At 42.7% G+C, this 24044-nt stretch overlaps 1 protein-coding gene and 1 pseudogene across 5 annotated transcripts in view, besides 7 other annotated features; one reads left to right on the top strand and one right to left on the bottom strand.

Moving 5' to 3' along the window:
• On the bottom strand, nt 1626-2345 carry RPL13P2 (ribosomal protein L13 pseudogene 2; annotated as a pseudogene).
• Nucleotides 2288-2377: an enhancer, noted in NCBI's record as "active region_17960". NCBI's record gives its function as "activates an Ori minimal core promoter by ATAC-STARR-seq in GM12878 lymphoblastoid cells {active_cell/tissue: GM12878}" and the evidence as "EXISTENCE:reporter gene assay evidence [ECO:0000049][PMID:35858748]".
• Nucleotides 11695-11744: an enhancer, noted in NCBI's record as "active region_17959". NCBI's record gives its function as "activates an Ori minimal core promoter by ATAC-STARR-seq in GM12878 lymphoblastoid cells {active_cell/tissue: GM12878}" and the evidence as "EXISTENCE:reporter gene assay evidence [ECO:0000049][PMID:35858748]".
• Nucleotides 11758-12571: an enhancer, noted in NCBI's record as "H3K27ac hESC enhancer chr20:44717888-44718701 (GRCh37/hg19 assembly coordinates)". NCBI's record gives its function as "activates a minimal SCP1, AML or CMV promoter by ChIP-STARR-seq in primed H9 embryonic stem cells {active_cell/tissue: H9 hESC(primed)}" and the evidence as "EXISTENCE:reporter gene assay evidence [ECO:0000049][PMID:30033119]".
• Nucleotides 11758-12634: a biological region, named in NCBI's record as "H3K27ac hESC enhancer GRCh37_chr20:44717888-44718701".
• NCOA5 (nuclear receptor coactivator 5) overlaps nt 11858-24044 on the top strand; it is a 28972-nt gene continuing 16785 nt past the window's right edge. For 3 of the 5 annotated variants that reach the window (NM_001348150.2, NM_020967.3, NM_001348149.2), the window contains exons 1-2: nt 11858-12003; nt 22367-22433. Coding sequence is in view for 2 of the 5 variants with exons in the window: in NM_020967.3 (NP_066018.1) it covers nt 22396-22433 (38 nt within the window). In the remaining 3 variants the exon portion in view is untranslated. The remainder of the gene's footprint in view (nt 12004-22366; nt 22434-24044) is intronic. The other 2 variants (NM_001348148.2, NM_001348151.2) reach the window with 1 other exon arrangement.
• Nucleotides 11905-12254: a silencer, noted in NCBI's record as "silent region_12972". NCBI's record gives its function as "represses an Ori minimal core promoter by ATAC-STARR-seq in GM12878 lymphoblastoid cells {active_cell/tissue: GM12878}" and the evidence as "EXISTENCE:reporter gene assay evidence [ECO:0000049][PMID:35858748]".
• Nucleotides 12425-12634: an enhancer, noted in NCBI's record as "active region_17958". NCBI's record gives its function as "activates an Ori minimal core promoter by ATAC-STARR-seq in GM12878 lymphoblastoid cells {active_cell/tissue: GM12878}" and the evidence as "EXISTENCE:reporter gene assay evidence [ECO:0000049][PMID:35858748]".
• Nucleotides 12572-13386: an enhancer, noted in NCBI's record as "NANOG-H3K27ac hESC enhancer chr20:44717073-44717887 (GRCh37/hg19 assembly coordinates)". NCBI's record gives its function as "activates a minimal SCP1, AML or CMV promoter by ChIP-STARR-seq in naive H9 embryonic stem cells {active_cell/tissue: H9 hESC(naive)}" and the evidence as "EXISTENCE:reporter gene assay evidence [ECO:0000049][PMID:30033119]".

Here is a 24044-nt window from a genome sequence, read left to right as displayed (position 1 = left end):
ATTCCCTGGGGCAGCATAGGCAGGTCCCAGAAGGCCGTGGAGTCTGTAAAGGATGCAGAAACCTCTTCTCACCCACTCTCGGTGCCTGTCTCCTAGCCTCTTTCAGACAGCCCTGTTAGCCAAGGACTTCCACCAAGACCTGCAAGGAGAAATGTGGAATGTCTTGGCTTTTTTCTTTTCTTTTTGACAGGGTTTCACTCTTGTTACCCAGGCCGGAGTGCAACGGCACGATCTCAGCTCGCTGCAACTTCTGCCTCCCGGGTTCAAGCGATTCTCCTGCCTCAGCCTCCCAAGTAGCTGGGATTACAGGCACACGCCAACACGCCTGACTAATTTTTCTATTTTTAATAGAGACAGGGTTTCACCACGTTGGCCAGGCTGGCCTTGAACTCCTGACCTCAAATGATCCACCCGCCTCGGCCTCCCAAAGTGCTAGGATTACAGGTGTGAGCCACCGCACCCGGCCATATGTTGGCTCTTATTAGGTCGTGTGAGCCCTCTGAGAATTGTATATAAGAGATTTTAATCCCTTTGCCTGAAAAAAAAAAAATGCATCTATGCGCATAATGCTTCAGGGGGTTCTAGTCAAAAGGGTTTAGAACAAACACTGGCTGAGAAGGACACAACGTCACTTCTGCACATTCCTGCCAAAGATGTATAACCTGAATCTAACAATGAATAAACATCACACAAGCCCCAAAGAGGAACATTCTATAAAATAAATGGCCTGTACTCTTCAAAAATGTCAAGGTCATGAAAGACAAAAAAGACTGAAGAACTGTTGTAGATTAAAGGAGACTCAAGAGACTTGAAAACTGAAGGCAACATGTATCCTAGATTGGATTCTGGACTAGGAAAAAAAACAGTGTTTCTTTTGCTCTGAAGAACATTACTGGGACCATTTGTGAAATGCATATGAAGTCTGTAGATTAGACAAGAGTCAGAGAGAGGGGAACAGAAAGAGATGGGTAGAGGAGGAGTTATAGAGCAAACAGTGAAATGTTCATTTGGGGAATCTGTGTGAAGGACATTCAAAAATTCTTTTTTTTTAAATTTATTTTACTTTAGTTTTAGACGGAGTCTCACTCTGTTGCCCAGGCTGGAGTGCAATGGCAAAATCTCAGCTCAGTGCAACCTCCACCTCCCAGCTTCTAGCAATTCTCCTGCCTCAGCCTCAGAAGTAGCTGGGATTACATGCGCACAGCACCACGCCCAGCTAGTTTTTGTATTTTTTTTTTTTGAGTAGAGATGGGGTTTCACTATGTTGGCCAGGCTGGTCTCAGACTCCTGACCTTGTAATCTGCCCACCTCGGTCTCCCAAAGTGCTGAGATTACAGGCGTGAGCCACTGCGCCCGGCCCAGAAATTCTGTCTTTCTTTTTCTCTCTCTCTTTCTCTCTTTCTTACTTTCTCTCTCTCTCTCTCTTCCCCTCTCCCTCTCCCTCTCTTTTTCTCTCTCGACAGGGTCTCACTCTGTCACCCTGGCTGGAGTACAGTGGTGCAATCATGGCTCAGTCCAGCCTCAATTTCCTGGGCTCAAGCAATTCTCCTGCTTCAGCCTCCCCGAGCAGCTGGGACTACAGTTACGCACCACTAAACTTGGGTAATTTTTTTTTTCTCTTGTCTCAAGTCCCCAAAAGGGCTTTATTTTTTCTTTTCAACATTCTGTTCTGCAGCTTCCTTGGCTCTTTTTGCCCGTATGCCGAAAAGCCGGGCGTTGGCACGGGCCATGCAGAGACTAGCAAAGGCTTTGACATTCTTCTCCTCCTCAGTGACGATTCGAGCTTTCTCCTTCTTATAGACATTCCGGGTGGGCATGACCGGTCCTGTCAGCTGAGTGGCCAGTTTCAGTTCTTCAGCAGAACTGTCTCCCTTCTTGGGGGTCCGAGGGCTTCCTGAGGAAGAAGATGAGTTTGGAGAGGTACTCCTTCAGCCGCTGCACGTTGGCCTGCAGGGACAGCAATGGACTTGTTCCGCCTCCTCGGATCCACAGCAATGCCAACGATCTGGGCCACCTTCTTGTGAATGCCGGCCACCCTGAGCTCCTCCAGGCTGAAGCCGCGGCCGACGGGCGCCTCCGTGTGGTACGGAACCACGGGGGCGGGGAGGGAGGGTGGTGTGCAGCGCACGATGGGCCGGATGGGCCCCGATGCGTGACGCGGGCCGATGCGGTGCGCCTTGGCTTGCAAGGCCCTGAGTCTGCGGATCTTCCGCGTCGGCTGGTTGAACCACGTGGCCACGCGCCGCTGCCAGTCCTTGTGAAAGTGGGGCTTCAAGATCATGCCATTCCGGCTGGGCGCCATGGGTGCCTACGGCCCTCCTGTGCAGGAAAACAGCCAAGCGGAAGCAACACCTGGGTAATTTTTTTGTTTGTTTTGTAGAGATGGGGTCTCACTTTGTTGTCCAGTCTGATCTCAAACTCCTGGTTTCAAGTGATCCACCCACCTCCGCCTCCCAAAGTGCTGAAATTACAGGCGTAAGCCAGTATGCTGGGCCGATAATTCTTTATACTATTTTTTGAAACTTTTCTATAAATCTGAAGTTGTTTTAAATAATTTAAATCTTTTTAAAAATCCTAAAGTCTAGAGCCAGGTGCTTCATTATGGGTGCTTCATTATGGAGTAAATAAAAACTGCACCAAACCTGCATCCTTTCTGAGCTCTGCACACCCTCTCTACCTACGGAAAAAGGCTGACAAGAGTTCTCATGAAACAAGCAGCAGAATAGGATGGCAAAAAGTTCTGGAACCGTGGAGTGCAGTGCAACCCAGGGACCAAGAGCTCAAGTCTCTCATCTCCAGTGGTCTGTGACCCTGAGCATGTCATTTAAGCTCTCAGTGCCTCAGTTGACTCATCTACCAAACTGACATCATGGTAGTATTTACCAAGGAGACTATCTATATGACACTGGGAAAGACGTTCTTCAACAAGACACTACATACGAACCATAAAGGGGAATGTTGAAACATTTCAATTAAAATTTAAAACTTTTGAATGACAAGACACCATTGACAAAGTAAAATGACAAACCACAGAGAGAAGACCCAACCCGGACACAAGATCAGTATCCAGAATACGTAAAGAACTCCTATGAACTAATTTTTTAAAACCATAGGTAAACCTAATAGAAAAATGGGCCAGAAATGTGAACAGGCAATTCACAAAGAAAGAAACCTGGAGAGCTGTAGGATAAGGTGCTGAATATCGCTGAATTCAAGAAAATTAAAATGAAATCCACAAATACATCATTCACAGCCATCATCGTAGTCAAAAATAAATAAATGAATAAAGTCTGAAAATATCAAAAGTTGGCAAGGAAATTTACAAATGGTACTTATACACTGCTGGCAGGAATATACTTCTTTAAATAATACTTCTTTGGCGAGTAATCTTGCTAAATCTTGTAAAGTTTAAAATGTGATCTACTACAAAGATAGCAATTCCACTCCTAAATGAGTATCCTGGAAAGCTCTGAAATGGGTACCCAAGGAGATACACACTAGCAGGTTCAATGCAGCACCATTTGTAAAAAGAAGCAGGGCCGGGCGCGGTGGCTCACACCTGTAATCCTAGCACTTTGGGAGGCCAAGGTGGGCGGATCACTTGAGGTCAGGAGTTCGAGACCAGCCTGGCTAACATGGTGAAACCCCACCTCCACTAAAAATAGAAAAATTAGCTTGGCGTGGTGGCAGATGCCTTTAATCCCAGCTACTCAAGAGGCTGAGGCGGGAGAATCACTTAAACCCAGGAGACAGAGATTGCAGCTGAGATCGCGTCACTGTACTCCAGCCTGGGCAACAGAGCGAAACTCCGTCTCAAAAACAACAACAACAATCACAAAAATCAAAACAAAACAAAAACCTAACTTCCTTAGGTTTATCTAGTACAGATACATAAACTGTGGCTGATTCATACAGTATAATACTAGAAAACAAATAAATTAGATCAGTAGTTCTCAAACTTCAGGGTATATCGAAATCATCAGAAGGACTTGGTAAAGGACAGATGACTGGGTCCTACCCCTAGGGTTTCTGAGTTATTCAGTGGAAATTTGCATTTCTAACAAATTCTCAGATGTTGCTGATGCTGCTAGTCCAGGGACTACACTTTAAGAACCAGTAAACTAGTTACATGTTTCAACACACTTAAATCTTAAAAACCTAGTACAGTTTTAAAAAGTCATAAAAGGATACATAAACTGTATCTAAACACTATTAAACAACGCTATACAGTTTATGGATATATCTTTTATGATAAAAGTAAAAAATATAGGCTGGGCACTCTATGACTGGGCTCATGCCTGTAATTCCAGTGCTTTGGGAAGTCAAGGTGAGAGGATCCCTTGTGACCAGGAGTTTGAGGCCAGCCTGGGCAACATAGCAAGACCCTGTCTCTACAAAAAAACAGTTTTTAAAATTAGCCAGGCATGGTGGTGGTACCTGTAGTCCTAGCTACTTGGGCAGCTGCAGCAGGAGGATTGCTTGAGCCCGGGAGTTTGAGGCTGCAGTGAGCAATAGCACCACTGAACTCCTACCTGAGCAACAGAGTGAGACTCTGTCTGTTAAAAATAAAATAAAATTAAAGTACGAAATATACATGGGAATGTATTTCAGGGGAGTGATTACCTGGAGAGAGATGAGGGTGATAGAAGGATCTTAGCTGTTTTTGTTGTTGTTGTTTGTTTGTTTGAGACAGAGTTTCGCTATTGTTGCCCAGGCTGGAGCACAATGGCACAATCTTGGCTCACTGCAACCTCCACCTCCCAGGTTCAAGCAATTATCCTGCCTCAGCCTCCCGAGTAGCTGGGATTACAGGCAGGTGCCACCATGCCCAGCTAATTTTTGTATTTTTAGTAGAGACAGGGTTTCATCATTTTGGCCAGGCTGGTCTCGAACTCCTGACCTCAGGTGATCTACCTGCTTTGACCTCCCAAACTGCTGGGATTACAGGTGTGAGCCACCGCGCCCAGCCAGCTGTTTTTATATCACTTCATTTCTAAAGCAAGTTAGCAAAAGCATTTACATTTGTTTAATCACAGTGGTGAGTAGAAAGGTATGTATTTTATGTATGTTTGAAATGTTAAGGAACGTTTAAAGTTTAAATCATTTAGCATTCATCACACAGGGTTGCTGTGTAGAGTAAATGAGGTAATGTGAAAGTTCTGGGTAAAGATGGCAAGATGAAGTTGGATCACAGAATCTCTGTCCCTGTATATGTAACCAGAAAAATAATAATTAAAAAATTAAATTAAGAGATACCAGGCCAGGTGCAGTGGCTCACACCTATAATCCCAACATGTTGGGAGGCCAAGGAGGCAGGCTTACTTGAGCCCAGGAGTGTGAGACCAGCCTAGGCAACATGATGAAACTGCGTCTCTACAAAAAATGCAAAAATTAGCCAGGACTAGTGGTGTGTGCCTGTGGTCCCAGCTACTTGAGAGGCTGAGATGGGAGGATCGCCTGCGCCCAGGAGGTTGAGGCTGCAGTGAGCCCTGATCATGTCATTGCATTCCAGCCTGGGTGACAGATGGAGACCCTGACTAAAAAACAAAAAAAAGAAAAGAAACAAGCACCTCAACCTCTAAATGTTTTTCAGTCTTTTTCTTTATGTGAATCTTTTAGAAACTAAGATCACTTCTAATGAAGAACCATCTATTTAAAATTCAATGATTCTTTCAGTGTAGAGTTGCCAGATAAAATATAGGACATCCAGTTACATTTTAATTTTAGAAAAACAATGACTAATTTTTTAGTATAAATATGTCCAAAATATTGCATGGGGCATACTTTTTAAAAAGCGTAATTTTTGTTTATTTCTTTCTTTTGAGACAGGTTCTCACTCTGTCACTCAGGCTGCAGTGCAGTTGCGCGATCATGGCTCACTGCAGCCCCAACCTCCCAGGCTCAAGCAATCCTCCCATCTCAGCCTCCTGAGTAGCTGGGACTACAGGTGCATACCACCATACCCAGCTAGTTTTTTCATGTTTTGTAGGCCAGGGGTCCCTCTATCTTGCTCAGGCTGGCCTCAAACTCCTGGCCTTAACCAGTTCTCCTGCCTTGGCCTCCCAAAGTGCTAGAATTAAATGAATGAGGCACCATAGCAGGCCCAAAATGTTTAGTTTATTTTACTCGTATTTATTAAATCTGACAACTCTATCTCAGTGTCATTCAGGGATCTTTGTAAACATTAGCTATAGTACACAAGATGTAAAGTGCTTTCCTTTCACACAAATGAAAGATATAACAGGAAAATGTGGTTGTAATTGAAAAATTATAGGACTTTGAATTAAGACTTGGGTTCTAAGTTCTGGTTTCGACTTGACTTCTTAGTAAATGTATGGCTTTAGATAAGTCACTTAACCTAAGTATCAGGTTCCTCACACTGTATAAAATGTTTGGGTTTATTTGTTTGTTTTTGAGCATCAACTATATTCCAGGAACTTTACATGCATGATTTCAGTTAATCCTTACAATGACCTCATGAGGAAGGTCTTATTATCCCTATTGTCAAGACAGGTACCTGTGGCTTGGTTGAAGCTCTGTGAAAGCACGGACCATCTCTTTCTTGTTCACTGCTGTGTCCTTTGTGTCTAGCATGGTAAACCTAGGAGGTACTCAATACATATCAAATGTATGAAAGAAGACCCAAACTCACATAGCTAAATTAAGGGACAGAGCCATGATTTGAACCCAAATCATTTTGATTTCAAAATCTTCATTTTGTTCTTTTAATTAAATTTTTATTGATGTATACTTTACATATAGTAAAATGCACAATTTTAAACCCATGACTCTATAGACGTTTACCTGTGTACATATTCCATGTAACCACTATGGGATCAAGATATAGAACATTTCCATCTTCCTGAAAGTTCCTTCAAGCTCCTCCCCAGTCTATGCCCCCAGAGTTAACCTCTATTCTGACTTCTATCACCAAAGCTGCCGCTCTTAAGTACTAGGTTTCTCCTCTCCTGGGTTGTGTCAGATGATATGCAAAGTATTCCTGAAAGTGTTTTTGCAAACTCAGGCTGCATCTGAGTGCTGTTGGCGTTTAGAATAGGTCTTCATGGGCCGGGCGCGGTGGCTTACGCCTGTAATCCCAGCGCTCTGGGAGGCCAAGGCGGGTGGATCACATGGTCAGGAGTTCCAGACCAGCCTGGCCAATATGGTGAAACCCTGTCTCTACTAAAACTACAAAAATTAGCAGGGCGTGGGGCGGGCGCCTGTACTCCCAGCTACTCGGGAGGCTGAGGCAGGAGAATTGCTTGAAACGTGGAGGTTGCAGTGAGCACAGATTGTGCCACTGCACTCCAGCCTGGGCCATAGAGCGAGACTCGGTCTCAAAAAAAAAAAAAAAAAATAGAATAGGTCTTTAGGCCAGCCGCTCATCACCAATACAAAAGTGAGATTCAGCAGGGTGCAGTGGCTCACACCTGTAATCCCAACACTTTGGGAGGCCGAGAGGGAGGATGACTTGAGCCCAGGAGTTTGAGACCAGCCTGGGCAACATGGTGAAACCCTGTCTCTACAAAAATTACCCAAAAAAGCCCGGCATGGTAGCACATGCCTGTAGTCCCAGCTACTCAGGAGGCAGAGGTGGGAGGATCACTTAAGCCCAGAAGGTCAAGGCTTGATCGCCTTGACAGAGTGAGACTGTCTCTAAAAAAATTAATTTTTAAAAATCAAAATTTTGAGGCTATATTATGCCCTGCATTTGTCAAAATGGAAGGGTTTTACTCAAGATTGCCTTCTGATCCTACTTTCTGATTCTCTGCAGTAATCTTGTCCTTAAAAAAAAAAAAAAAAAAAACTACATGTTTTCTTTATCATAGACCCTCTGGTTCTCTCTCCTGGGATATTCCTGAGCCCATTGCTTAGACACTTTTTAATCACCACTTCATTACCCAAAACGTATCTGGCTTCATCCTATAAAGCAGTCTGAAATACTAAGAAAAATACCAGATTAAAATAAAACCAAATTGATATCTCAAAAAAATTCCTCCACTATTGACTATGGTATTGAATTTACTCTTTCTTCTTTTTTTTTCTTCATTCAACAGGTATTTGCTGAGCACCAAATGCTGCCCCCTCCAGTTTGCTGTTTGAGTGGAATTGCTCATTGCCCTGTCTTGGCTGTCCTGTAAACCACAAGGCCTACTCATATGTTCTAGGAAACACACATCGTTCTTTAGTACTGGCCACACTTTAAACTATACCTTTCTTCCCTTACAGTAAGGGGTAACCCACTGTACACCAAATTTTAACAGCCAGTGAGCTTAAAGATCTATCTGACAGAAATCAGATGGCCTCCACTGTAGCAGATTTTCAATTTATCTCCTGGTCAAACTTTGGTGCTCACCTCTGAAGGGTTACAGGCTTTTACACCAATCAGGTACCCCCTGATTTGGAAGGGAACCTCTTATCCCAGAAGACAGTATCACTCGTGGTTACAATAGCATTTTGGGCATCAGGCCGCACAGGTTCAGTGAGTCTGGCCATGCCACATAATCTCTGTGGGACAAGCAAATTAACTGGCCTCAATTGTCTCATTTGTAAAATAGGAATATAGTACACATATTACAGTGTGTCCAGAATTGGTGGGTTCTTGGTCTCACTGACTTCAAGAATGAAGCCGCAGACCCTCATGGTGAGTGTTACAGTTCTTAAAGACGTCGTGTCCGGAGTTTGTTCCTTCTGATGTTCGCATGTGTTCGGAGTTTTTTCCTTCTGGGGGGTTCGTGGGCTCGCTGGCTCAGGAGTGAAGCTACAGGCCTTCCAGGTGAGTGTTACAGCTCTTAAGGTGGCACGTCTGGAGTTATTTGTTTCTCCCAGTGGGTTCGTGGTTTCAATGACTTCAGGAGTGAACCTGCAGACCTTCCCAGTGAGTGTTGCAGCTCATAAAAGCAGTGTGGACCCAAAAAGCAGTAGCAAGATTGATAGCAAAGAGCAGAACAACACAACTCCCACAGTGTGGAAGGCAACCCGAGCGGGATGCCACTGCTGGTTCAGGCAGCCTGCTTTTATTCGCTTATCTGGCCCCACCCACATCCTGCTGATTGGTCCATTTTACAGAGAGCCGATTGGTCTGTTTTACAGACAGCTGATTGGTCCGTTTTGACAGGGTGCTGATTGGGGCGTTTACAATCCCTGAGCTGGACACAAAAGTTCTCCACGTCCCCACTAGATTAGCTGGATACAGAGTGTCCATTGGTGTATTTACAAACCCTGAGCTAGACAGAGTGCTGATTGGTGCATTTACAAACCTTGAGCTAGATACAGAGTGCCAATTGGTGCATTCACAATCCCTTAGCTAGACATAAAGATTCTCCAAGTCCCCACTAGATACAGAGTGTGGATTGGTGCATCCACAAACCCTGAGCTAGACACAGGGTGCTGATTGGTGTGTTCACAAACCTTGAGCTAGACACAGAGTGCTGATTGGTGCACCCACAATCCCTTAGCTAGACACGAAGGTTCTCCAAGTCCCCACTAGACTCAGGAGCCCAGCTGGCCTCACTCAGTGGATCTTCCACTGGGCCGCAGGTGGAGCTGCCCGCCAGTCCCGCACCGTGCACCGGCACTCCTCAGCCCTTGGGCGGTCGATGGGACCAGGCACCTTGGAGCAGGGGGCTGCGCTCGTCAGGAAGGCTCAGGCCGCGCAGGAGCCCGAGGGAGGAGGGTTGGTGGGGCGGAGAGACTCGGGCATGGCTGGCTGCAGGTCCCGAGCCCTGCCCCACGGGGAGGCAGCTAAGGCCCGGTGAGAAATCGAGTGCAGCGCCGGTGGGCCAGCACTGCTGGGGGATCCGGCGCACCCTCCACAGCTGCTGGCCTGGGTGCTAAGTCTCTCACGCCTGGGGCCAGCAGGGCGGGCCGGCCGCTCCGAGTGTGGGGCCCGCCAGGCCCACGCCCACCTGGAACTCTAGCTGGCCCGCAAGCGCCGCGCGCAGCCCCGGTTCCCGCCCGTGCCTCTCCCTCCACACCTCCCCGAAAGCGGAGGGAGCCGGCTCCGGCCTCGGCCAGCCCAGAGAAGGACTTCCATGGTGCAGCGGCGGGCTGAAGGGCTCTTCAAGCGCGGCCAGAATGGGCGCCGAGGCCGAGGAGGCACCGAGAGTGAGCAAGGGCTGTGAGGGCTGCCAGCACGCTGTCACCTCTCAATAGGGTTGTGAGGATTAAATGAGATGATATGTGTAAAGGATTCAGCACATGGTAGGCACACAATAGATGTTACCTATTATGTAAAGCAAACATCTAAATAAGAAGTCACCAAGTCCTGAGCACCTGCCTCCCTACAAGAATCTTTCTTCATAAAATTAACTTGCTCCTCTATCAAAAATACTCATCAAACACTATATATTATCGTTTGTTTATTGCTCATATTCCCTAATAGGCCATGAGCTCCCTAAGCACAAGGATTTTGTCTACCTTACTCTCTACTCTCCACAAAATCAAGTGCATAAAAAACACTCATTAAACACTTAATACACAAGTCACTGAATACATCTTTTGGCTAAAGTCCACTACCCACTTGAGGTACTGCCACTCACCTCTAAACCAACATTTTTCCCTAAGCTTGGTTATCTTAATCATCTAATTAATATGATTCTTCTTAAATTTTCATAGTATTAGGATCTATATTGGAGGGAAAGGAATAAGAATGAACATTTGTTGGGTATCCATTATTTGACAGACTTTATGTCTTCATTTCTAATTTCATACAGTCTTATAAAGTGGGAATTGGAATAACCCACTTTGCCTGTGAGTAAACTAAAGTTCTAGTTACAACCATTGAGAATCCCTATTTCTTTCCATCACAGCGTTTATCTCAGTTTGCAATTACACACTCAAGTGTGATTATTCGTCTAATGCTTTCACCAGACTGTAATCTCAAAGATAGCAGAAAAGGGTCTGCATTTGCTCATAACAGCGCCTAACAAGCAGGCATATAATAAGTATAGGGCTACATAGTAGGTATGTAATAAACATTCAGTGAATAAATGAGTGGAGTGAGCATAGGGGTAGATGTCAAAGAAATCTGGCTTCTTGTAGTGTTTAAATTCCGCAGGCACCATTTTTTCTTAGTAGGCAATATTCGCAAGGAGAAGAACTAGACCCCATGGAGTCTGAGGCGTTTCCAACACTAATAAAAGAGTACCTGATTAATATAGCTATGGCTGTGATTAATAGAGTGCATTTACTATTGTGTGAGCAAATCCCATTCCCTGTGACAAATGTATTCTATACATGAAATGAACAGTACAACATTTTACAGGCTTCACGGTCAACAGTTACATTCCGGGAAATTTTTGACGTTGAACGAATATTCCAAGAATAAATAACTCAAGAAGAACCTGTGACTATATCTCCAGAAACCTTTTGCCGCTTGTCAGTGAAACTAATAGAGTACAGAGCCTATTTAAATGTAAATTTAAATACAACATTTTCTCCACCTTTCTGCTCTCTTTGTTCCTTGTGGTCCGGAGGTTACAGGACTATATATATTCTCCAATACACACGTGTATAGGGATTTGGGGTTTTTGCTTTCAGTTTTATGCAAGACTAAATCAAGGTATTTGGGGATTTGAATGTTCTGTTCCCACAGTTAGGGAGGAGGGAATGTGCTCTGAAAACAGAAAAAAAGTACTCTGGGGCGGGGGCTGAGGCGACCACCGTGGGGCCCATCCTCAGCCTAGGACGCTGTTGCTAGGCAACTCCCTGCGTTCTCAACTCCCGCCCGAGAGCCACTTCCCGGGCCCTCATTGCCAAGGAGATCGACGCCCCAACTCAGCCCTGCCGTAAACACGCGCGGTCTTGCGACAGTGCCGCGCCTGCCGCTACGTGCGCGCCCTCTGCCCCCATCTCCACTCTCCGCCCGGCCGCCATTGCCTCGTGCCCGCGCCGGTCGGTTGGTGGCGCCTTTGTCCTACGGCGGGCAGGTGGGCCGACGCGGAGGCGGCAGCGGCGGGCCTGAGGCGAAGGAGCGGCCGGGAGCCCGCCGCGCTGGTAGCGGTGAGTGCCGGGAAGCGCTGGCCGTCAGCCGAGGCGTGGGGCTGACGGGCAGGCCGTTGTGGGGGGCCTGGCCGGACGGGGAGGCTGAGGCGGGAAGGCCCACTCGACGCGCGGCCACGGTCTCGGCTCCTCTCCGGGTGCGCGCGGTGCTGCGCATGCCCGGTGCGGGGCGCGGCCGCCTCCGGCTCCCGTCAGGCCCAGGCCCGGCCGGCCGAGGCGGCCTACGGTTCTCTGTGGTGGACGCAGGTCGGCGGCGTCGCATCGCAGCCGCCTGTCTGTGCACGAACGGTCGGTCACTAGGAGTCCTCAAGGCTTCTCTGGTTGAGCCGCACATCCCGCACCCCCTGTCGAAACGGTGGAGTCGCTCGCCCGCGGGTCCTCAGCGAGTCAGTGGCGCAGTCGGGATTCGAACCGGGCCCAAGGCGTCCCGTGGCACCGGGCGTTCTCCAGGCGTGCAGCGCCGAGCGGTGTACTGAGCGCTGTCCCCCGCCACCGTCTCGCGGCCCCTGACCGCATTCTCGGGGTGTCTCCTTGTGGTGTGACACCCCACGCGTTTTGTAGGCGCGGACCTCGGGCCCAGAGAACGGGGAGAGGAACTGTTCCCGGGTTTACCACGTAGCTCAGCGCCAGCGTCCGATCCGGCCGGCTTTCCAAGCTCCCGGCGCGGGGCACTGTCCGCTCCCCGCCAGCGGGCGAGGGGCTTCTCTTAGGACGGCGTTGCACACGTTTCAGTCTCGCGTTGCACCTTTATGTCCGTGGACCATCTGTACTGCTATTTACCAAATGTTACATTTTTTAAAAAATTCAAACTGACTCTTTTTTTCTCCTTAAATATATTTAAGGCGGCAACTTCAATCACAAACCGGGTACTGGAAAGCCAGTTATTTTTCTAATGCTTATAAAAAAAATAAATATCTGTCTGTTGAAATAAACAGTGCGTCCTTGTTCCTCCTGAAATTATTCTGCGTTCCACACTTTGGGAAACGCTGCCCGAGGAGTAGCTGATTAATTGTGGTTCTTCTGGCTTGCACTCTGTGCACAGAATTTTTCCTGAGGCAAAGCAGATTCTATGAATGCCCTGGGCTCTTCAGGGATAATGTAACAGCTTTCTTGTAAACTGTTCTCTTTGTTGACTTAAAAGTGTTAGTCCCAGGGAACTGCAAGAACTGTGTTCACTCAGGTGCACCCGGTGTGCCTGAATTTTCTTACAGCGTTGTGATGTCGTAGCCCCCTGTTGGCTCATAAAAAGATGTTTCTACAAATGCTGGGGAAGCTTTTGTGAGTTTTGACAACTCTTAATTTAATGTTTTCTCTATGAGTCAGTCTGGGTGTGAAAACTAACTTTGTGTCTACTTTTTGCAACCAGTAAAGCCCATGCTTTGCATTGTGGATATTAGAAATCACTTGGCTATTTGTTAACATCCATTTCTTCCTTTATTGTGATTTCTTTGCCTTTCTTTGAGCTCATCTGTCACTCTTCAGATTGCCTTTGAAACCTCTGACACTTCTCTTAACCTAAAACTTAGAAACACTGATTTTCCTTGTAGAATGTCCCAGCGAATCCATATTGCAAGGCTCATTGGAAGGAGTTTTTCTAGATTCAGTTTGCTCAATGTTGCATACCTGTGAACACCACAAGTTTAAAGGAGGCATTGACAGATTAACTTACTTGTAAGTTAATAGTGTGTTCATAAGATCTGTTTATGTGAATGTAAGAGCAGATTTAATTTAAATCATTGACAGGAAAGTCCCATAAGTCAGTTCAGGCTTATTCAAGTTTTCTTCCCCTCCCCTCAAAGGCTGTGTAAAAAAATATATATATATGTATATGTATATATATGTGTGTGTGTGTATGTATCTCTCCCCCTGTTAAAAACATGTTTCTTTGGGGTTACCTTGGTATGATCACAATGTAGAATTTACGTAAGGCTAAGGTCATTTTCTTCACATTTCTGAGAATTTGATTTAAGCCCGGCGTCCGTTTCAGAACTTCAGCAAATGGAAACTCATCTACCAGTGCTTGAGAGCTAAGAAAAAACAACTTGTTTGTTTTGGTTTTGTTTTTGTTTTTTCTGAGACAGAGCTTCACTCTTGTTGCCCAGGCTGGAGTGCAGTGGTGCGATCTTGGCCCCCGGGTTCAAGCAATTCTCCTGCCTCAGTCTCCTAAGTAGCTGGGATTACAGGCGTGCGCCACCACGCCCGGCTAATTTTGTATATTTTTAGTGGAGACGGGGTTTCTCCATGTTGGTCAGGCTAGTCTCGAACTCCCAACCTCAGGTGATCTGCCCGCCTCTGCCTCCGAAAGTGCTGGGATTACAGGCATGAGCCACCGCGTCCAACCAGAATAAACAATTTTTGGAAAGACTTTCGTAGTCTGATGAGAAAAGATTTATTGGTTTGAAACTTCATTTTAAATAATCATTGCAAGCAGTCCATGTTTATGACCTGCAGATGGCAGTGCCTTTGTGTAATGTTTTACTACTGTGAGGATTAATAAAATTTAGTTGTGCTTTTAAGAATGGAAAATCTTCACAAGAAATATATTAAACTTTTTCTTCCCTTCAGTTTAGGTTGTTCTCTTGTTTTTGACTCCCCACGTGAAGAATGAAACGTCTATTCCTGAAGTCACTGTTACTCTTAGTGTAGTAATGATAATAACATACAGCCAGTAGTGCATATGGTAAATACTAAATCATTGCTCCTGCCCGTCATCTTATGAGACTGATAAACTAGTTTGATCTTTTTTATTTATAGGGAAATGATGACTCAAAGAGGTTAGATTTCTTGCCCCAGATCACATAATTAGTAGAACATATTCAAGACATCATTGGAGATAATTGATTTCAGGGTCAAGCAAAATTGGGAAATGTTGAGATATAGTGGTGTCCTTACTCCAAAACTTCTCAGAGGCATTTATGTGCTAAATATGTGCAATGTCAATATCTGAGAGAGGAAGTTATCATGATGCCTTTCTCCTGCTATCCTCTCATGAATATTTTGAAGTAATAGTGTTCCTCAGAACTGACTACTCTTTCTACTACGCTGTATTTCCTCTCTGTACCTTGTGGTTTATTAATGATTACTGCATATCTTTAAGACAGCTGCTTTTAAAGCTCAATATCAGCTTTTTTGTGCAAAAATAGTTGTCCTGTGAATAGCACATATATTTGTTTAGACCATTCTGCTTAAGCAGAGTTAAACTGTCAAAAAGTTAAAAGAGCAATGACTAACAGAATTATCCTTTATGTTACTCTCATTAATGAGAGTCATTAATGACAGGATCAGGGTAAAGCCACTGTCTCAAGCAGCAGTACATTAGAGAAATATGAAGTATATTGACAGCTAAATATATAATACCAGCATGCATGCTGCTTTTTAAATGGTGGTTTTGTTACCACCAGATATGAATATTTATGGGAATGGTCATCTTCATTCTTTATCCTTTCACTTAAAAAAAGAGATAATAGGTCATCTGGACCAATTTTATGTTAAGGAAATAGTTCACCTCATAAGAATCAGAACTTTTCCAGACATCCTATGTAAAGACCAGACAACTTTAGGCAAGGATCAGGGCAGCTTAAGTTGCATTAGAAAACAGAGTGTCTTGTCTTATACCTTTAGCTCTGTAAAGTATCTTAAGGCTGGGTACAGTGGCTCACACCTGTAATCCCAGCGTTTGGGGAGGCTGAAGTGGGAAGATCCCTTTTGATAGAAGTTTGAGACCAACCTGGGCAACATGGTGAGATCCTGTCTCTACAAAAAAAATTAGCCAGGGTGGTGGTGCATGCACCTGTATTCCTAGCTACATGGGAGCCCTTTATTGAAAGTAAAATCATGACTTTTTCAATTTTTTTCTCCTTCAGTGTCAAACCAATGGTCTTTGAAGAATGTTACTAAAATGGGCAATATTTTGAATGTCTTACATTTAAATACTCCCTCACCGCATTTGGGGATAATATACATAAAGTTTCGTTAATTTGGCTTCATTGAGACTCTGTGGTAGTTCAGTTTATAGCCCCCAATAGACCCTCTAGCCACTAGATTCTTCCTTGTCCATAGCAAAGTGTTTTGCAATCTGGATCTAGTCCAACTCTTGCTTCATGTTATTCCTCTCTCTTTTATTCCTCCTATCCCCGTGTTCCCAACACCAAACTTCCTGTAGTTTTTCTAATTTATTATGTCCTTCACACCATTCCTTTACCTTTGTATGTTCTGGGATGACTTTTCTCTTTCTGGTAAACTCCCACTCATTCCTCAGGACCCAGTTTAAATGTTATTTTTAAGCCTTCCCTGCCTCCTCCCATCCCATTCACCCCCACCCCCTCCATACACACATTCTTCCTAGTCTCCTCTCTGCTCTGTTCCTTTCACCTGCCACACACATACACAAAATTAGGACTCCATTATCTCTGCCATAATCCCACTTTAGATTGTATTGTAATTATCTGTGTACTTGTGCCTCTCCTTTATTAAATAAACAGTGAACTCCAGGCCAGGCATGGTGACTCATGCCTATAATCCCAACACTTTGCGGGGCTGAGGTGGGAGGATCACTTGAGCCCAGAAGTTCAAGACCAGCCTGGGCAACATAGGGAGACAGTATCTCAAAAAAAAAAAAATTAGCTGCGTGTGGTGGTGCATGCGTCTTGTCCCAGCTACTCAGGAGGCTGAGGCAGGAAGACCGCTTGAGTTCAGGAGTTTGAGACTGCAGTGAGTTATGATCGAGCCACTGCACTCCAGCCTGGACAACAGAGCTGAGACCCTTTCTTTTTTAAAAATGAACTTCTTTAAGGCAAGGACTTTAGCTGTGTCATTTCCACATGTGTAAGGCCTGGGACATGTGTGACACATAGTAGGCATTTGACATTATGAATCAATGAAGCATTCAATGTATTAATTATAAGCTATCCTTTTCAAATTCATCACTTGTTCTCCACTTGTACAGTTTAGTTGAAAATTTGCCAGTTTTAAATCTGTATTTTAAAATTTTAAGCAGCTCAGACTCTTTTTTTGTAGTTTAGATTAGCTCAACCTTTGCAAATCCAAAATCATTTTTTCTCAGCTGATTTTTCTCCTTGAGTCAACATAGCTAACACAGGCAGAATATCCATTTTGTCAGAAAGGAAATATAGATTCAGAGAAATCAAATGACTGGAGTAAATTTCCCAAAGTAAGGACCACAGCTCAGATTTGCTATCCCCAGCCAAATGCCCTTTCCTTAAAAGAATAAGAAAGGTAGGAAATTAAATGTTGATAATTTTTGTCGGAAGAGTTGTGGTGAATGTTAATAGCAAACCCCAGAAACACTGTAGTTTGAGGTAATAGAAACTGAAGTCGTCATTGAATAAGTAGGTTCTACCCTGTTGGGTGTCTCTGGGTCATTTAAGCAATGGAGTGTCTAGCATAGACTGGACCTTTTCCAGGTTCCATCAGTATTTGATCAGGGAGTCCTAGCAAGAATATTCTAAATGGAAAGCATGTCTTTCCACTCCGTTGGAGGCAGCATAGCATAATGTTTAAGTACTTTGGTGTAAGAAAGACCTGGGTCTGAGTCTCAGCTCTGCCTCCTGATAATTGTGTGGCCTGTCACTTAATTTCTCTAAACTTCAAATTTTCTCATTTGCAAAGTAGAAATTATAGCAGTATTTAATTCCAAGAGTTGTAAAAGGATTGAATGAAATAATACACATAATGTTCTTAGTACACAGGCTCAGGAACAAAATAAGCATTCTGTAAGTATAAACTATTGTTTCCCCCATTTCTGTTCCCAGGAATAATATTCTAATACAGTTAAAGATGTAATAATTATTTTAGTTGGAGAATAAAGGAGATAATCAAATATATAGGGAAAGTATAGTATTCAAAGTGAACTTAAAGGGTTGATTTAGAAAGAGCAAGCATAACATTCTCTTATCCCTGACTTGTTACAATATAACTCATTACAATATCCCTGATGTTGCAATATATCATCAAAGTTGTCTTCATAAATATAGTTTAGCGAGAAGTCCTGTCATTTCCCCTCCCAATTTGGGGGATTTAATGTGTGATATTCTCTGTCTTGTCAGTATGGTTTTCCAACTGGCATTATCTTTATCAGCATGTAATGCCACTTTAGTAATTCTTGATTGTTAGTTGGTTTTCAACTAAGCCTTTTAGAGAGTTTTATGTCATTTGTAGTCAGTTATTAAAACAGTATAGGCTTCTGGGTTCTTTGAACAGCTAGTGGTGGTACTGTCACTAAGTGTTGTAGTTCATGTGGCTGTCAAAAGACAAAATTACAGCACACTTAGTTTAGAGATCTTAATTGTCTTTTATTTGCAACTCTAGAATAGGGCAACACCTCATTCTATAAAATAGAACAAGTGTTCCAATGAGCTGAGCAGAGGCGTTTGGCTTTATAAACAGAGAAGGGAGCTGAGGAAAGCAGAGACAAGGAGCAAAAAGCGGATTGGTCATTTCAGAGTTACTTTTCTTGTGAAGGGTAAAGCAGTGCAGACTTCCTTTTCATGCTGGCTAAAACTGGCCTATTTGTGGTTTTGGCCATTATTTATCTCCTGATTTCGCAGAACGTCAGGAAAAGATCTTTGTCTTGGCTTGATAGCGTGGAACTTCATCATGAATTTGGTTTGGTCTTTGGGCCTAGTTCAGGAGCTCAGTCCAAAGCAATGGCCTCCTGGAAATTTTCTTTGACACCGCTCTTGTTATTCCTAGTCCTCATTGTTTTCTGTGGCTGTAGCTTATGAACTATAAAATCTGGTTTTAAGGTGAAAAGAGTTGTTTTATGATTGTACAATTAAAAAATAAGTAGAACAAAGTAGTTTTTGGTACTGTGAGTGAAAGAAACATGCATTTTTATTTATAGCATTATCCAAGGACCATTTTGTGACCCCTGTCTGGCATATTAGTCTAAAATAAAATTGTGGATTAGATATTGTATATTTTGGGAGTTCTTCACCCCATCCTTTTGTAGTTTATAATGGTTCTGCCATTTCCAGCATGTTTTCTAGATTATTTTCCAGTTCTTTTCCTTGTATGTAAAGCTCTTTTTCTTGTCTAAAAATTCTTAACTGAGAAGTGCTTTTAACTGTTTTCAGACCACCACTTGGACACTATAGATATTCAGGCCAAGATAAAGCACTTCATGGTGATTATGATGATTTTGAATGGCATTCACATTGCTAGTATAATTAACAAAGTATAGAAGTATCACCCAAACTGAAGTGGAGAAGACACTGAGAGATGACTTTTGGTCTTAAGGGCAGTTGGCCAGAATAAAGTATAGCAGAAGGGGAAAGAAGTACCGTTTCTTCCCTTTTCTATTCAGAGGAGACATTAGACCTCTCCTTGGAAGAGATTCCCAAGTTGCCACTTCCCTCTTGTTGATTAATTTTTCTCCAACCAGAGTTCCCCATCTGATGTCCAGAAAGATCTCCAAATTGTCTTTCTACCTTTTTTTCCCTTCTTTACATTAACACCATTTCTATTTGCTTGGTGTTGATTATATCTCTCTATAAGGATTTAGGAGAAAATAATCTGATTATTTAATACAAAATAAAACTATAGATTAGATACTGTGTCTTTCTTTGGGAATTCTTCACCCCATTCTTTTGTGGTTTAAAACAGTTCTGTCATTTCCTACATGTTTTCTGGATTATTTTCTGGTTTCTTCCTTTTATGTAAAGCCGTGAGTTGGTGCTTTAGCATTCTCAATATTTGCATTTTCAAAGAAAATCTTTTTTAAATGAACCCTCTGCTTCCAACTGACAGGTTTTCAAATTCTGTGACAAAAAAAATAGGATGAGGGAAGTTTTTTCTTGACTTCTTGAATCTTTGCTCTCCGTGATTAGTTCCTTAAAGTTATTTATTCTTCTGTATTTCTGAACTCATGGATTTCCCAAAAGTTCTATGTGCACATGTGTTAGGATTTTTTGGGTGTATGGGGATTGGCAGTAATGTTGGTGGTTGTGTTTTTACAACTCTCACTGAAAACTCCCCAGCCCTACCCTAATCTGAGCAATTCTATTAGATAGGAAAAAAAAAAAAATCCAGGTCTCATTTTCTCCATACGTCAGCCCAGATGGAAATTTAAGGAACTCTTAAATAGAGATGAATAAACAGATACTTGACATACTACACTAAAAGTTTACTAAACCCTAAAATGAGACAATTATCTGAGAATTCTTGTTTTTGCAGAAGAAACATCCCATGCTGTCAAATATAAATACTTTGGACTACCCAATGAAAATAGATACTACGAGGCAAATTACAATCAAAATGGTTTAAAGATATAATCTTGAATATTCTTTAATCTTTTAAGTAATTACAAAACGATTCCACCAGCTTCAAAGTAAAATATTTATGTCCTTCATTCTAACTAGAACTGGTTTTGTTCCAAAGATATAGTATACATGACCATGTGATTTCTCCAGTTCTGTATGTAGATGCTCACGAAACTGGCTATAATTATACAGTGTAATATTCCTTTTCATATGTAGAGAGCAAATTATTGGTAATAGAAACCTACCAATTAAAGTAATACTATATGTGTTGTACTCTTAACCTGAATGTTTGCCAGGTCTAGTCAGTGTTTAGATGTGAGTTTCCTTTATTCACAAGACCATTTAATAATATATGAACTCCTGCTGAAGTTATGTTATGTATATTTTTTATCTTAATACACACCCAGTGTATTCCAGAGACACCTTGAAAACTACTTAAAATACTCAAAGATATTATATTTCTCTCTGAATCATAGCCAACCTATATAATTAGAAAGTGGTACACAGTAAGTGAACAGACTCAGTAAGTCATAAACCTGAACTAGTATTCTTCACAATTACGTATAATAGAACTAGATATTCCCTATAAGGCCTGTCATTATATAATTTGTAATTTAGACCATTATAAACTTTAAGAGTTGTAAATTGTGAAAGTACTGCATGCAGTAGCAAAGCTATGGTCAGATATTACTGGCCAAGTCTTACATAGAAAATATTTTCAGGTTTTTTTTAAAATAGAAGGATTATATCTTGTGTCTGCTTAATTGAAAAGGTAAGAATCAATTTAAGATATACTTCACTATTTAGCTTTATATTATTTTCAGTTTTGTCAGAAGCCATTTTTCTAGACAAATTAGAGACTTCTGATTTAAAATGGAATTGAAGATTACCTTCATTTGATCAGGAACTCAAAAGTTGGCAAAATAGCAGCATAAAATCTCTACCAGACCTCTAAGTTTCTTGTTATTGCTGTGGTCTTTCATGTGATAGGAATCTGGTTGGGATTTTTAAAATACATAATTATTATTTTAAAGCACTCGAATTATGTGAGTACTTAATACCATTTGATGTCATTAGATACACTATTAATTGTTTAATACGGAAAAAGGGGAACAAACTCTACTGCAGCAGAAAGCACTTTTATTTCTTCATTCATCTGAAGTATGAAATTTGTAATGTATTTATTTAGCTTTAAGTCATATGAAAACTGTCAGGTATTATTTTGGGGCATAGATTTCTTAGTACATGGTATTTATTATTCACTTCAATTTTTGTAAAGCAGGTATTCTTGGTTTTTAGCAAAGCAGGCTTTAGCTATACAAATTTGCTTTTCTTTAAGCTTATGTGATTCTACTTTTCTCCCATATCTAGTTCTATACGCCAGCCTTCTCTAATGAAAACAACTTAGGAGGAGTGTTTTATTACCTAACCCTACTATACCAAACGCCAGTCCTTATTCTTGGTTATCTGTAGATGTTAACAGGTCATATTCTTTGTTTATTAAAAATAATAATAATAATTTTCTTTCCTGCATGTTATTCTGGAAGATTCTATCCAGTGGAATTCAACACAAGACACACTAACAGGAGGCCCTGCTTCATGGGATATTGGAAGTTTTAAGACAATGAAATCCAGCTATTACTTCTTAGTAACATAAAATAGAATTATTTGCCTTTGCTCTTTTGTTTTTTAAACTCTCCTTATCTTCCCCCCCACTTTCTTCCTCACAAAAAGAATCTTACAGCTGCTTTCTAAGAGTTTAGAAAACAACCTTTTCCTCCCCTTGGAGGGAATGTGTCAGGTCTAGGTCTTGGCAGCGTGTTAAAGCATTGACGTAATTAGTTTAAGACAAATTACGTGTTAACTAGAAAACGAAGGGACATTTCTTACCAAGCCGTGACAATGTACTACCTTAACTCAATAATAAAAATTGCCCAAGTGACAGTGTGTCTCTGCTGAATGGCTTTTCTTACACCATCTGGTTGTCATTGTAGTTTTTGTTGTTGTTGCTTTCATTTGAAATGTGCTGATGATCTTGTTTTTATTCCGTAGCATTGAACAGATGGGTTGATTATTCTTTTCAGATATTAATAAGGCAGCGGAAAGAAGAAATATGAATACGGCTCCATCAAGACCCAGCCCCACACGAAGGTAAAGTACCCTGAAGCCGTGAGTTACCTTGGGAGAGTTGGGCTCTGGGGAGTTAAGCCCAGCTTCGTACACCAAAGGTCTTTTCTTCCCCCCAACAAGTGAAACGCTCAAGCAAACAATAAGAACATGAACCCTGTGTGAAGGGCCTTGCTGCTTTTTTTAAACATACATCAGGAGATACAGAGGAAGCTTTGTGTTTTCGGTGGCAAATCCAGCAAGTTCAGCTTGCAACATGAGTTGCAGGCAATTGGAAGAGGATAAACCTCTGTCTGTCCCCAGCTCACGTGTCATTGGGAGCCTCCAGAGCAGAAGGAGTGCCCCAGAGTCATTGGTGTATGCCATGCTGCACTGCAGTGGGCAGCAGAGATTCGACTCTTCATTCCAAATGGCTGCCGGTCCAGATGTTAACCCAGGTTTACGGAAAGTGCTGCTTGAGAGATTGCCGCTGTGCCTGTGCTGCAGATCCCCTGTTTGCTTACATACTTGGGTTATCTGTTTGAGGGGAAATAAAAAGGGCAAAACACTCCAGCTCTCGAAGGTCTCCCTTTTTCTTAGCTTTCACGGAAATCGAGGGTGTTTTCCCAATGTATTCTTCCTTCCGGTGTATACAAAAGAGATAATCCTGGTGTGTACCCTCAAGATACACATTAAATTGGTCCCTCCTCTCAAAGAAGAGCTTTATTAATGATACCATTTACACCAAAAATAAAGATACTGTATTCAATTGTTCTGGCCCCATAACAGCACACAAGTGGATGCAGTTTTGTGTAGAGGGCAGACAGATATGATATATTTCATACGAATGATATATTTCATATCTGGTGTCTCTTCAAGGCCCAAATGGATTAATTGATTTTGCCTTGCCTCTAAGTAAAAAAGCCAGTTTTCCCCAGAAACATAACTAAACTACGTACCACAGTAAACTGCATTTCCTACAGTGAACTGGACAGTGCTGCATACAGTGAATCCTCGTCTGTACTGGTAGCTCCACTGGTCACCTTGTGAACCCAACTAACTGAGCATTACGCATAACATACAGCTGTCCTGCTTTTGGACAAAAACACCTGTATTTTGTTACCTGCTTATATGAAAGAATGTCCACTGTGTGTTTCATGTATATACTCCTACTTGGATGTGAAGTTCTAGCTACCGGGAATAGATTACGCATGCCCACTCTGCAGTTTAAGCAGACCCTAAGGGCAAGTAATGCTGCTGGTTTCATTCAGTTGGAGTCTTTGTCCACTCTGCCTGTGCAGCAGAGTTGAATCCAATACCATAGCTACAGCTATATACCACAGCTGTCGTGTGGATTCCCTGGCCATTCGTTGGTTTCACTGCGGAAGTGGGCATGTAAATTGGTATTCTGTCTGTTCTCTCTAAAGAATGCTTGCAGCTTGCAGGTAAATACTCTGTTGGTTGATTTGTGTGTATGTGTGAGTATCCTGAAGAACATAAACAAATCCTGCAGAACTTCAGCAGTTCCGTATAATGTCTGCTTTCATTAGCCTTCATCTAACCATGCCACAGATCTTGGGCAGTCCTATCTGTGTTGCTCCTTATTGTCCCAGCACAGAATGGAATACAGGTGGATAAGAGTTGCATCTAATCTTC

This window comes from Homo sapiens, chromosome 20, assembly GCF_000001405.40.
Source record: "Homo sapiens chromosome 20, GRCh38.p14 Primary Assembly".
Taxonomy (NCBI): Eukaryota; Metazoa; Chordata; class Mammalia; order Primates; family Hominidae; genus Homo; species Homo sapiens.
Note: the sequence above shows the minus strand (reverse complement) of the source record. Positions and strands in the feature narration are given on the sequence as shown.